Genomic DNA, 15,306 nt, shown 5'->3' on the forward strand with positions numbered 1-15,306 from the left:
AGCCCGTTGGGAAAGCACAGTATTAGGGTGGGAGTGACCCGATTTTCCAGGTGCCGTCTGTCACCCCTTTCTTTGACTAGGAAAGGGAATTCCCTCACCCCTTGCGCTTCCCGGGTGAGGCGATGCCTCGCCCTGCTTTGGGTCATGCACGGTGCACTGCACCCACTGTCCTGCACCCACTGTCCGGCACTCCCCAGTGAGATGAACCCGGTACCTCAGTTGGAAATGCAGAAATCAGCTGTCCCAGCTCACGCTGGGAGCTCTAGATCGGAGCTGTTCCCATTTGGCCATCTTGGCTCCACCCTCCTGGCTAATTTTTTGTATTTTTAGTACAGACAGGGTTTCATCGTGTTAGCCAGAATGGTCTGGATCTCCTGACCTCATGATCCGCCCACCTCAGCCTCCCAAAGTGCTGGGATTGCAGGCATGAGCCACCTCGCCTGGCCAATAGCTACCCATTCTTAAACAGAATGGGAAATTTGGCCGGGCACTCACGCCTGTAATCCCAGTACTTTGGGAGGCCGAGGGGGGTGGATCATTTGAGGTCAGGAGTTCAAGACCAGCCTGGCCAACATGGTGAAACCCTGTCTCTACAAAAAAAAAAAAAAAAAAAAAAAAAATGACCCGGGCTTGGTGATGTATGCCTGTAATCCCAGATACTAGGTAGGCTGAGGCCAGAGAATCACTTGAACCCTGGAGGTGTGACCCGGGCTTGGTGATGTATGCCTGTAATCCCAGATACTAGGTAGGCTGAGGCCAGAGAATCACTTGAACCCTGGAGGTGGAGGTTGCAGTGAGCCAAGATCTTGCCCCTGCACTCTAGCCTGGGTAACAGACCGAAACTCCGTCCCGAAAAAAAGAATGGAAAATTTAGCTGCTTTTTCCCTCCTCCATTCTTACCCTCAGTCCCATCCCCTTCAGGCTTTGGTGGTATTATCATATTTGACATTTTATTTGGGGGCTAGATTCATGCACATTTCATATCTAGTCATGGGTGGTATTGGATTACGCTATGAAAAATATTCCCAATAAATAGAATCAATTTCAAGCCACCAGAAATACATTAAACTTATGGAAACTTCCACCCCAAGGCCTGCTATGAATTTAAGTCTATGGTCTATGTGGTGCTAATTCCTAATAATTCCTAACTGCCTCTAAATTGTTTCAATTCTTAACATTGCTATATTTTCTTATTTCCTTAAGTTTTATTTTAACTTTTATTGTCCTGAAAGTTCTCATGATTTAATTAGCATATTTTCCATTCCTACCTTGGGATGTATGCTTCTAGAATAATGTATGCAGTTTTAGTTGCTGAAACTTAAGGAAATTATTGAAGATATTCAGGAGCAGAGAGTTACAATAAAATGTTTGACGAAGGGCTACTGCTGAGTAGGGAACAACAAAAATGATTAGAGCTTTTGGGTTTGTGAAAGCAATGATTCAGAGGGCACATGGTTAAAGCTTTTAAAATCAAGGGGTAAAAATGAGGTGAATCTAATTGTAGTATCCTTACACTAACACTAGAAGATTTCTTGCAACTTTTAAGAAATAAATTGAGAAAAAAAAGCTTGAGTTTCACAATAGGAAATTTCATTAGGTAACTTCTTTTGCCCCTCCGGATCTACTTTTTGTCCTTTTCTACCCTGCTCTGGTCCTAGGAGGCTGCTCTACACTGACCACATCAACAAGCACCTTTGCCTTCTGGCTTAGTGATGGGCTTGGTGAGTGGGGTGGCGATGAGCAGCACTGTGGCAGGAAAGTGGAAAATGGAGGAAAGTAAGATCGGGGTATTTATTCCCCAGCTTCCTCCCCACCAGGGTGCCCAAGGTTGGCTGAGTTTGTCTACTGAAAGCTAGCACTTGTGACACACAGTTCTCTCCATACGCTTTGTGAGTTCTGGTAAACATATCTTCTCCTTTCCATTTCAGAATTATGAGCAGTAATAGCCCCTCATTGTTGCAAATTCCAGATACTATATGCTATTGCTGATTTCTGCAAACCCTGCTCGGGCCTTGTAAACAGTGCCTTGACTACTCTCAATTGCACACATAGAGTATGCCCTCTCTTTCCAGACCCATGCCGAACCCTGACTGATGTACTAATTAATGGACCAAGAGATCTCTGTAACTAAGAAATAATAAGCGTAGAAAATACAAATGTTTAAAAAGTGACCATGGATAAGACACTAGCCCTGACTTTGGGAAAGAGGTGAATATTAGACCATTTTGCGATTGTATTGTTGGGGCCAAGGAGCACCTGTTGGGCTGAATGGTTGGGTGGAAGTAGGCTTTTTCTTTTGAGAGAATGAATGTTCCCACTATCAGTCATCCTTGGAAGTGGATAATCCCCATGTGGGAAATAAACTAAAACTATGGACTGTAGAAGGAGGGATCTCCACCTGTCTCTGTATTAGGGATCTATTTCATCCTGGACTTTGAGGTATGAAAAGGCAGGCTCATGCTGGAGTAAGCTGTGCCCAGGGAAGCTGCAACATCAAGCTTCTATTTTTGTCAGAGTGGCAACAGGGACAACAGCAGTTCAGAGAAGGAAACAACCAGCATATTTTGATAAGAAACGCCAGGTAAAGAACCCCTAGGCCCAAAAGGTATTACATCTTCATCCTAGCCCCACCAAAAAGCAGGAATCATTATCAGGATGTTTTCTTTGGACCAAAGGAAAAAGTTTATCTCTCCTGAGGCTGAAGTCAGGATAACAGTGGGCTTCAGTGGGTAGATATGAGAACATGACAGCAGAGCTCTCCTGAAGGTGAAAACAATGAGTTGAAAAAAATGAGAGAGGAAGCATGGGAGAGCTCTGTTTTAGACCAAATATAAGGTAGTACCAGTAAAGTTTCACATATAGTTGAAACCACTTTGAGAGAGGTGAATTTCCAGCAAGTGGGTTCATAGGAGAGAATACTGTAATATTTTTGGTATGAAATGGAAGGATACTTTCCATAGTAGTTATAGACTGGGAATCTGGGAATAAATGGGTTACAGAAATAGCTTCTAGGCCAAGCGCAGTGGCTCATACCTATAATCCCAGAACTTTGAGAGGCCAAGGTTGGAGGATCGCTTCAGCCCAGGAGTTCCAGGTCAGCCTGGACAACATAGTGAGACCCCATCTATCTAAAAAACAAAACAAAACAAAATTAGTTGGGTCTGGTGGTGTGCAAATGTCCTAGCTTCTTGGGAGGCTAAAGGGGGAAGATCCATTGAGCTCAGAAGGTCGAGGCTGCAGTGAGCTGTGATGGTGCCATTGTGCTCCAGCCTAGGTGACAGAGCAAGACACAGTTCTTAAAACGAACCGACAAACAAACAAAACAGAAATAGCTTCTAATGGATTAGGTAAACCCTATGTGTGGTAAATTGATAGTACTTTCCTGATGGGAGCTGAAACACATTCCTGACCTTTTGGATTGATACTGGAGAAACCGGGCCCTCCCACAAACTCCCTTGCTACTGCTGCTGGGATCAGAATGCAGGATTTGGTGAGTATGGCAACATTTAAGGATTTTTTTTTTATTGAGGTTGTGCAATTCATTCTCCCTATATCAGAGAGAGGAATAGTTCTTGGGGCTTTCACAAGGTTGATGTGATGCTCTGATTTCTATTTTGGCGTAATGGGACTTAGAATCTCATTAGGGGCCAAACCAAGTCTCATTAGTCATATGAGCTTCGCACATTTACCAAAAACTTGTTCTATGCTCTGGTGAGAAAAGGAAGGGCCCAGTGTGCCAGCTGAAAGGATATTGCCTGACAACTTCCACCATATAATGTGGGCTTGGGCTCAGCTCATGTGGGCAGTGAACCCAGGTGTTATCCAAAAATATTGCCATGAGTTACCAATTTGCATCAGATGCATTTTCCAATATTTTTTGAAAATATTAAAAGTAGCAATATATTCAGTGTTTTGTAATAGCTCAAGGAGATAAATTACTGAAAGACGAATATCAACTCCCATAGCAAGAATAATTTCTCCTGTCCTTGGAAAATGTTAATCAAACTTTAGAGATCTAACTAGCCTAATATCTTAAAGTGATAACCTGGGATAAGGAGAGATTGAGACTTAAGGTTTTAATATGAATTACTCTATGAACTACATCTTCCTGAATATGTTTGAAGCCTGCAGCATCAGGCTTTCTCCTGTCTGCCACTACCAGTTATCTATAAGTGGGTTCAAAAATTCCACTTCAGGGACATTTTGTTTCTCCACAGGCATAATCATTACTCTCAGGAATTTGTGAGCCCTCCTCAAGGAGAAGTCTTTTTCTGTGTGAAGACAGTGAGACCCCCTGTAGTGTGTTCTCATTAATCTGTTTCTAAATAATCTGATCGAGGGTTCATCTGCCTACACCCAAGTTGCCCTGCCTGCCTGTCCTCTTTTGACCTTTCTACTTAAACCTGATGTCATCTTCTCCAAGAGCATGTGACTCAGGCAGCATAATGTCAGGGATCAGGGCTGAACTATTATAGACACAGTGGATTAGCAGCCAAGGAGTGGTTCCTCTGACTTGGGCTAGCCAGGGTTCTCTAAGGATTCATTCTCTGGCAACGCTGCCACTCAGACTGTAACAGCTTTGTAATTTTGAGGAGTAATTCTGAATTACAACATGGCAGGATCCACAATGGATGAGCTCATCTTCTGGGTGCACTATGTGGGCATATTGTCTCAATTATACTGACTTGAACAAAACCTCCAAGAAAGAGTGAGGTCTTTGTTTCTAATGTTTCCATTTTGATCCTGTTACAGTTTTAATTCCATCACACACCTCCATTCCATACACACCCCTTTGGGTCCTTTCATTCTTCAGAAAATCCTCCTCAGGTTCCAAGGGCTGTACCTCCCTTACCAAGACAAGTTCATTTTATGACCAGCACAGCTTTATCAAGCATAGAGGGATAGGAATGGTGAATTGTCTCCTACAACCTTTCATTGGCACTGTAGGATGAGTATCATTCAGGGCTCCACTACATCTTCAATAGCAATGTCATATAAAAGGCAATGTCTATGGGAACGTTCTGAAAACTGAACATAAGGCATGAATTTTTAAAGTCCAGCCTATTTCTACAATAGGCAAATTAGATTAATCTTCATACCAATTTACCCATAACAGAGTAGCAGTTTCTGGAAAATAGGTAGATGTCTTTCTACATCATAATTAAATGGTAATTAATTTGCTAACTTTAGTCAAACACTCAAAGGGTAGATACTTATGCTGACAAGAAGAAAGGGGCACAAACCTGACTTCTGCCAACTAGAATGTTTTTCAGGTTTTCCTTAGAATATACCTCATCAGAATTGGCTTCTTCATTTAAACCAATTCTCATCGTTAGGTTTGAGGTTAATTATAGTAGGAACATAGCCAAAGGGCAATTGATTTGTGCTGATTGAAGTATCTCAGAGAAACAACATGGCAAAAACTTAAGTGGGCTTTGCGGCTAATTTGAGATTCCTTCCCCTGATATTTATAGAGATTGTGGTTATTGTCGTTGTTGTTGTTCCAAGTATATTTTGGTTCTGTCTGTTCAGGAGCAGAGGACAGTCAGCTAAAATATCTTCGCTGCGAACAACTATGTATCTTTTTTATTCTTTTTTTTTTTTTTTTTGAGACGGAGTTTCATTCTTGTTGCCCAGGCTGCAGTGCAGTGGTGCCATCTTGGCTCACTGCAACTTCTGCCTCCCGGGTTCAAGTGATTCTTCCGCCTGAGCCTCCCGAGTAGCTGGGATTATAGGTACCCGCCACCATGCCCAGCTAGTTTTTAAAAATATTTTTAGTAGGGATGGGGTTTCACCATCTTGGCCAGCTGGTCAGGCTGGTCTCGAACTCCTGACCTCAGGTGATCCACCCGCCTTGTCCTCCCAAAGTGCTGGGATTACAGGCTTGAGCCACCGCGCCTGGCCTTCCTTTTATTCTTCAGAAAATCCTCCTCAGGTTCAGGGGACTATACCTCCCTTATAAGATAAGTTCATTTCATTAATGCTGTGGGTTTTCTCTTTCAAAAATAAAAATAGAAAAATAGTTTGACAGTTCCTAAAAAGGTAAAACATAAAATTACCATACAACCCAGCAATTCCAGTCATAAGAACTGAAAACAGTTATTCAAATAAATACCAGCACTTTGGGAGGCCGAGGCGGGCGGATCACGAGGTCAGGAGGTCAATACCATCCTGGGTAACACAGTAAAACCCTGTCTCTACTAAAAATACAAAAAATTAGCCGGGCATGGTGGCACGCACCTGTACTCCCAGCTACTTGGGAGGCTGAGGCAGGAGAATCCCTTGAACCCAGGAGGCAGAGGTTGCAGTGAGCCAAGATTGCACCACTGCACTCCAGCCTGGGTGAGAGAGTGAGACTCCGTCTCAAAACAAACAAACAAACAACAAATAAATAATAGTACACAAATGTTCATAGCAGCACATTCACAATAGTCAAAGGTGGCAACAACCCAGGTGTCAATCCATAGATGAATGAATAAACCAATTGTGATATATGTATACGATAGAATATTATTCAGTCATAAAAAAAGAATGCTGTGACATGGATGAACCTTGAAAATATTAGGCTAAGTGGAAAGAGGCCAGACACAAAGGTCACATATGGGATGATTCCATTTATATGAAATATCCCGAATAGGTAAATTCATAGAGATAGAAAGCAGATAGATGGTTTCTAGGGCCTTGTGGTAAGTGGGTATGGATTTTCTTTGTGGGGTGATAAAATATTTTGGAATTTGATATAGATGGTAGTTGCAAAATATTGTGAATATACTAAATGCCTCTGAGTTTTTCACCTTAAAATGGTTCATTTTATGTTATGCAAATTTTGCCCCAATAAAATAATTTGCAAATAAATGCAAAACAGCACTTTGTTCAATTCTCTGCATTAAGTATGATGCAACTCAGAATACCCTTTCAGCCTTAGGCAAGAGGACTATAAGCCATAGGTAGAGAAACAACTGTTTGTACCAATTCCTTACAATGAGAAGCTACTTTAGCTACCTGTAACATGCCAGCTTCATAAAGAGAAGCCTGACAGTTCACCAAAAAGAGAAACAATACCCAGTCCTCATATTTGTTGACAGCCATTTCAAAATAGAAGAGCCATTCTTTTCTCTGACAGCTACAGAGCTTGAGATTAAATTTTTTCATGCTTCACAAAAAATGTACTTTCAATAGAAAAATGGTATATTTGTTTTTATGAAAAGAATCTTGCAATTAGTGATCTGTAGAAGAAAAATAGCCTATTTCTGCTCATACATTCCATTGCATTTAAATTTTTAATACAAAGATAAAGTCAAGAATTCTCTACTTCTCAGCATCAGGAGGTGTCAGGATTGCCATTCGTCATAAAATCAGAGAGGCAAGAACAATACTTAAGGTTTTGGGACCTAGACCCAGTGAGGGCTAGGGAAATACAGGAAGAAAAGAAAGACATGGTATAGGAATTTACTATTTGAGGGATGTCACACGAGGTCGAGGTTGGTGATCTTCTGTTCTTCCTTCCCAGAGGAAAGAGGAAATGTGCTTAACTGCAGAGGGGTTTCTATTTGGCATTAATGTGTTCTTGCTGCAAGAATTAAAAGACATCAAAATAAGACACTAAAGGAGAGTATAATGTTTCTTCAGGAGACATTTTTAAGACTCAGGTTAGTAAGCGTTTCTCTGAGAAGCTGGTGGACTTGATGAGCTCTGAAGGGACAGTCCACTTCTCTGACTCTGGGAAGGCTGTAACAGATCAGGACAGAAAGGACAACTTTCTTTCTAGTAACTTAATAGACCTCTAGTAACTTAATAGACCTCTCTGCCTGTATCTAACATAATTAATTGCTTCATGATTACTTTCTTATTGTCCTAACCTTAGTGAGGACAAGGATCAAAGTCACTATTGCAGTAAGCTCCTCCCTACCCCAGCTAAGTTTTGCGTTCTCTGGTTTAGTTCTTTTCTCTCACAAATCTATTTGATCATCTCTGTGGCACTTTTGTCATTATTTTAAACGTCTTTATTGTCCTCAGAAGTAATCTCTATGATGGGGGAGCCCAACTTTTGAAAGGAAGTGTAAGTGCTATTTGAATAAATATGCAAAAATAATAGAATGCATGAGTTGTCCACCCATTTTGTTTCTAGTTGCTATCATTTTATATAGGGTCACAGAAAAACCCTTGTTTGGAAGAGGTTGGGGTGTGCAGTGTGGGGCCGACGGGAGGACAGGGAGCAAGAAGGAGATGGTATTGATGCACTGCCCCATGAGGACTTTATTGGAAAATAAAAACTGGCCCTGGGGCCAGGAATTCCTCAAATTAAATATTAAAGACTGATCTGACCAGAACTCTTGTGCTACATTTATATTTTACTAATTAAAGGCCAAAGGATTGAGTGAGGCAAAGAAACAACAAATAGTTTACTTACTACTACACAGCCAATCAGTAGCAGAACTGACGTTAGGAGTACTTTATTACGAATTCAGTGCTACATGTACTGAACTAGGCTGCCCACATTTGGAAGCTCAGTTAATATAAAATAAATATATTATGAAGTGTCTCCTTTCAACCTTGTCCACTTCATCGGTATGACCTCTGGAGAGGCAGTGGTGGTTCCCATTCCTGAGGCAGCTCTCTTCCCTCCTTCTGTCTCCACTATATTCTGGAGTTCACCTGCCATGGCATTACTCACTGTTGCCACCTGACTCTTGGAAATGAAGAATGCATCTTTTTGTATTCTTGCTGTCCAGCATGCCAGTGCTTCCTCCACGAATTTGAAAGACATATTGGCTGACCTGATGCGTAAGAAGCAGGCCAGAATTAAGACCTTCAGGCAGCAACATGGCAAGATGGTGGCAGGCCAAATCACTGTGAACATGAAAAATGATGGCACAATAGGCACCAAGGACTGGTACATGAAATGTCAGTTCTTGATCCTGATGATAGTGTCTGTTTTTTTAAGGTCATGGTATCCCTGAATGCCAGAGGCTGCTGCCCAAAACTAAAGGTGGGAAAGAATTAAGGGCGGCAAAGATGTGTCAGATGAGCATTTAAGAGAATACATCTCGAACAAACTCAGGACAGGTTGTCCCAGGCTCTGGCCATGCAGTCTTCTAAGGAAGACTGATTCATGGTATACCTGTCAGTGAGAGTTTGCTCTGAAACACCTGCCTAGTGACCCCATGTTAAGCTGACTGCTCAACTGCACAAGATTCTGTCCAAAATCCTCTTAGAGCAGGGCAAGGCCAAGAATCCTTGGCCCAACGTTGATGCCCACAGTTGGGTGTTGCTCCAGTACTGCGGTATGATGGAGACGAATTACTACATAGTCCTATTTGGGGTGTCATAAGCAGTGGGTATACTGGCACAGCACATTTGAAGGCGAGCCCGAGGCCTCCCTCTAGAGAGGTCCAAGTCCATGAGCACAGATGGTCTGATGAGGGGTTGTGAATTCTAAGGGTAAAATTGAAGACTGTGGGGGAAACTGACTACCAGAAAGTAAGAAAGCTTAAAAAGAAAGTGTACTTTTTTTTTATTTTAGGAGGCCTTTGAAAACTTAAGATTAAATTGTATCTGAGGCACTGAAAATACATTTGAGGTAAAAATATATATTAAAACATTAAACAATGAATAGTGATCCCATATATATGATAAATATATGATATGATATATATGATATATATATGTCACATTTTCTTTCTCCAATCATCCATTGATGGACACTACTTAGGTTGATTCCATATCTTATTGTAAATATTGCTGCAATAAACATAAGGGTGCAAATATCTTTTTTATATAATGATTTCTTTTCTTTTGGGTAGATAGCCAGTAGTGAGATTGCTGGATCAAGGGGTAGTTCTATCTTTAGTTATTTGAGAAATCTCCATACTATTTTCCATAGGGGTTTTACTAATTTATGTTCTTACCAACAATGTATAAGTCTTCCATTTTCTCCACATCCTTGCCAACATCTGTTGTTTTTTAACGTTTTATTAATAGCCATTCTGACTGATGTAAGATGGTATCTCGTGGTGTTAATTTGCATTTCTCTGATGATTAGTGACGTAGAGCATTTTTTCATGTTTGTTGGCTACTTGCATGTGTTCTTTTGAGAAATGTCTCTTCATGTCCTTTGCCCACTTTTTAATGGGGTTGTTTTTTTCCTTGTTGAGTTGTTTGAGTTCCTTGTAGATTCTATATATTAGCCATTTGTTGAATGCATTCTTTGCAAATATTTTCTCCCATTCTGTAGGTTGTCTGTTTACTTTATGGATCATTTCTTGTGCTTTGTAGAAGTCTGTAAACTTTCTAAAAGATGCTTCAAAAATGTACTTCAAAAAAATACAGAAAGGTTGAAAAACAAAAGATGAAAAAACTCAACTATGCTAGGTAAATACAAACCAAAAGAAGACTGGCTTATCAGTTACTGTTAGACAAAATAATATTTTTTAAAAAACAATTAATATATAAAAGGAGAAATCCACCAAGGAGATACATTAGTCATAATTTTATGGGTACTTGCCAATATAGCCTTGAAATTTACAAACAAAAATGAACAGACTTAAAAGAAGATATGGAAAATTTAGTCAGAGTCTTGACAAGGAAACAGTTGTCAAGCTTAAGAGATTTAACTGAAGATAATGTAATGAATGTACTATTTACAGAGGTGTATAGGTTGAAGGAACAAGAGGGACTATGAGGGACCAAAGAACTAGCAAGAGTGGCATGACATTACTCTCTCAGGCATGACAGTACAAGAGGTGAGGACAGTATTACTGGAGCCAGAGAGAACTGGAAATGTGGAGGAGGGGCTACTTAGAATGAGTTATAGCCATAGAGGATGGCAGCCAGAACCCTGGGTGGTGCAGGGAGGGAATGTGGGACAGGGCAAGCGACAGTAGTGAGAGGTTAAATACCCTGACCTCTTTTTCTGTCTGCTCTCTGATTTGATAGTACCAAGCCCACCAACAAAACCTAGCTGAAAATCAGAGGCAAAAGAGGCTGGTAGAGAAAGGCCAAGAATGGATCTGATGTACAAATGGAGAATAACTGGCAAAACAATCATGGTGAGAAATTTTAACATCACTTTGTCAGAAACTGATAGACAAAGTGATCAAAAATTAGGCAGATACAGAATATTTGTTCAATACAATTAACAAGTTTGATTTAATAGACGTGTGGTGGGTGGGCTGTGTGGAGAGAGTGAGAGACAACTTGTTCCCAAGAATGTATGTTCCCATACATTCTTTTTGAGCGTATGAAATATTTCGGAGCATAATGAAATATTTATAAAAGTTTATAAATTATAAGGCTTATAATTTATAAAAGTTTATGTTATAAAAGTTTTTAAAAGTTTACCATATATTAGGCTATAAGAAAATCAAATGCAGAAATTAACCTTAATTAGCCTTAGAAATTAGCCTTTCTGAGCGAAAAAAGCAAGATGTGGAATGTTACCTATGTTATACTAGTATTTATATAGCAATCATCTATCTCTACTTATATATGCACAGAAAATACCTGGATACCCAAGAAACTATGAATAGTGGTTGCCTCTGGGGTAGATGGGTAATTGACCTTTTTCTTCTTTTTGGTATTCTGAATCTTTTATAATATTTGTGTCATTACTAAAGAACAAAAAATCCCAAGAAAACAACAAATAAAGCCCTAGTTTAAAAATTGCTAAATAGGCCTGGCGCAGTGGCTCATGCCTGTAATCCTAGCACTTTGGGAGGCTGAGGCGGGTGGATTGCCTGAGCTCAGAAGTTCGAGACCAGCCTGGGTACATGGCGAAACCCCATCTCTATAAGATACAAAAAAATTTAGCCAGGTATGGCGGTGTGCGCCTGTAGTCCCAGCTACTCGGGAGGCTGAGGCAGAAGAATTGCTTGATCCCATGAGGCAGAGGTTGCGGCGAGCCGAGATTGCGCCACTGCACTCCAGCCCGGGTGACAGAGCAAGACTCTACCTTAAAAAAAAAAAAAAACAAAACAAAACAACAACAACAAAAAAGTACTATCCTCAATTAAAAAAAATCAATTCTCAAGGCAGACTCCTTAGCTAGTTTTGTAGCATGATTAAGAGCTGCCATGGCTTACCCGGTGCTCTGCCAAATTTCCACTTACCCTCCCCATTGATTTTTTTTCCTACATAGAAAATAACATTATTAAGTCTAATGTGTCTCTTTCCATTGACCCCTAGGTTGAGGTGATATCTGAAAAAATAAAAGCTGAACTTCTGAACACAAACAACATTCCTGTGATCTCTGCATATACATACTGTCTTGTTCTTTGGGAATTTCTGCTAGGGATGGCAGTCACTCCCATGGCAGTTAAACAGAAACAATACAGAGGAAAAATAAAATCATCAGAACAAGGAACTAAATATTAACACAGCCCACTGAAATGAATGTCAAGAATGGAGTATCTAAATTACCTTGTACATTTTTAAGCCAAGTTCCCCCAGTCAGAAACAGCTAGCAGTTCTCTGAGTATGCTGCCATACCTGACAGATAGTCATTAACCTGGAGCCTGAAATGTCAATAGCAAAGTAATATCTCATCTGACATTTCAAGTGTTAATAGGGACATTTGAACAGAAAACCCTGAAGCAAACAACAGTTCTTTAACAGGCTTCCTTATACAAGGCAGAAACTACCTTGACAATTTTTGTTTTCACAGTTCAAACACTGATTTAGATACATGAGTCAAGGAAAATTGGCATGACTGCATAAATGGGGCTGTCATTCAATTGCTTGATTTATTTGTTTGCAAATCTACAAAATGACAGTGAGCGTTCTTGATCTGTCCACTTCAGAGTGGTGTCATGAGGGGAGGTGCTCTGGCTGTTGTATATGCCAGCTAATGGAAATCATTCTTGACAACTTCCCATAACCAACCAGACAGCAATCTTGTCAACTCTATCTCCTGTGTTATCTCTGGAACTTGTCTATTATGGCCCAAGCCTGATGCCCCAACTGCCACACAGACCACCATCTTTCCCACTTGGACAACTGTAATAGCCTCTTCCTCCCTGTACCCCTCTTACCCCTTCTAATCTCACTCCACAGAGCAGTCAGAGTGTCTTTTTTAAAAAAATATAAATAAATTTTTAAAATCTCATAACCAGTAACTTTCTCATTCTCCTGGCTCCAGCTATAATGGCCTTTCCATTTTTTGGCCTTGCCACTCTTTTTCCTATTTCTGGGCCTTCCAGCAAGCCATTCCCTCTACTTAGAATGCTCCCTGCCCTCCCGCTCCCCCTGCCCCTCCCCCTCCTCCTCCCCCTCTCCCTCTCCCCACGGTCTCCCTCTCCCTCTCTTTCCACGGTCTCCCTCTCATGCTGAGCCGAAGCTGGACTGTACTGCTGCCATCTCGGCTCACTGCAACCTCCCTGCCTGATTCTCCTGACTCAGCCTGCCGAGTGCCTGCGATTGCAGGCTCGCGCCGCCACGCCTGACTGGTTTTGGTGGAGATGGGGTTTCGCTGTGTTGGCCAGGCCGGTCTCCAGCCCCTAACCGCAAGTGATCCACCAGCCTCGGCCTCCCGAGGTGCCGGGATTGCAGACGGAGTCTCGTTCACTCAGTGCTCAATGGTGCCCAGGCTGGAGTGCAGTGGCGTGATCTCGGCTCGCTACAACCTCCACCTCCCCGCCGCCTGCCTTGGCCTCCCAAAGTGCCGAGATTGCAGCCTCTGCCCGGCCGCCACCCCGTCTGGGAAGTGAGGAGCGTCTCTGCCTGGCCGCCCATCATCTGGGATGTGAGGAGCCCCTCTGCCTGGCTGCCCAGTCTGGAAAGTGAGGAGCGTCTCCGCCCGGCCGCCATCCCACCTAGGAAGTGAGGAGCACCTCTGCCCGGCCGCCATCACATCTAGGAAGTGAGGAGCGTCTCTGCCCGGCCGCCCATCGTCTGAGATGTGGGGAGCGCCTCTGCCCCGCCGCCCCGTCTGGGATGTGAGGAGCACCTCTGCCCGGCCGCGACCCCATCTGGGAGGTGAGGAGCATCTCTGCCCGGCCGCCCCGTCTGAGAAGTGAGGAGCCCCTCCGCCCGGCAGCCGCCCCGTCTGGGAAGTGAGGAGCGTCTCCGCCCGGCCAGCCGCCCCATCCGGGAGGGAGGTGGGGGGGGGTCAGCCCCCCGCCCGGCCAGCCGCCCCGTCCGGGAGGGAGGTGGGGGGGTCAGCCCCCGCCCGGCCAGCCGCCCCGTCCGGGAGGGAGGTGGGGGGGGGTCAGCCCCCCGCCCGGCCAGCCGCCCCGTCCGGGAGGTGAGGGGCGCCTCTGCCCGGCCGCCCCTACTGGGAAGTGAGGACCCCCTCTGCCCGGCCAGCCGCCCCGTCTGGGAGGTGTGCCCAACAGCTCATTGAGAACGGGCCAGGATGACAATGGCGGCTTTGTGGAATAGAAAGGCGAGAAAGGTGGGGAAAAGATTGAGAAATCGGATGGTTGCCGTGTCTGTGTAGAAAGAAGTAGACATGGGAGACTTTTCATTTTGTTCTGTACTAAGAAAACTTCTTCTGCCTTGGGATCCTGTTGATCTGTGACCTTACCCCCAACCCTGTGCTCTCTGAAACATGTGCTGTGTCCACTCAGCGTTGAACGGATTAAGGGCGGTGCAAGATGTGCTTTGTTAAACAGATGCTTGAAGGCAGCATGCTCGTTAAGAGTCATCACCACTCCCTAATCTCAAGTACCCAGGGACACAAACACTGCGGAAGGCCGCAGGGTCCTCTGCCTAGGAAAACCAGAGACCTTTGTTCACTTGTTTATCTGCTGACCTTCCCTCCACTATTGTCCTATGACCCTGCCAAATCCCCCTCTGTGAGAAACACCCAAGAATTATCAATAAAAAATTAAAAAAAAAAAAAAAAGAATGCTCCCTTTTTCTCACCCTCATATTTGGCTAATTCCTGCTTACTCTTCAGATTTCAAAGTATATGTCACTTCTTCATAGTCACCATCCAGTGTCTCTCTGCCCTTTTCCCTGGTCAGATTCTGCTATTATAAGCTCTTTTAGAATCTTATAATTTCTTTGTAGAAATTATCATAATGCATCTAAAGAATTCTCCCAGAACAGAATCTCCATGTTGGAGCTCATCAGTGGCTGCCTAACCCCTCACACAATGCTTTGCACATAGTTGGCATTCTACAGATAGTTGTTGAATTATGGACAAATGAATATATATTAATGTCAGTTTGGACAGTACTCAAGTTTACCTTTCTCCCAACAACTTAAACTGCTGATGAGTGACACCTCTGGCCCCACCCAATGCTGGTTTGCAGCACCACTGAGATCTTAGCACATCTCCAAGAAAGCTGAGGCAACATGGATTAT

The 15,306-nt window shown here is 42.9% G+C and overlaps 1 protein-coding gene and 1 pseudogene across 5 annotated transcripts in view; one reads left to right on the forward strand and one right to left on the reverse strand.

Annotated features, from left to right (window-relative positions):
* The window catches only part of WDPCP (WD repeat containing planar cell polarity effector), a 721,268-nt gene that overhangs the window by 588,905 nt on the left and 117,057 nt on the right, over positions 1 to 15,306 (reverse strand). The gene's annotated exons all lie outside the window — the stretch shown is intronic.
* CSP1 (CS pseudogene 1) lies at positions 8,542 to 9,000 on the forward strand (annotated as a pseudogene).

This window comes from Homo sapiens, chromosome 2 (assembly GCF_000001405.40).
Source record: "Homo sapiens chromosome 2, GRCh38.p14 Primary Assembly".
Taxonomy (NCBI): Eukaryota; Metazoa; Chordata; class Mammalia; order Primates; family Hominidae; genus Homo; species Homo sapiens.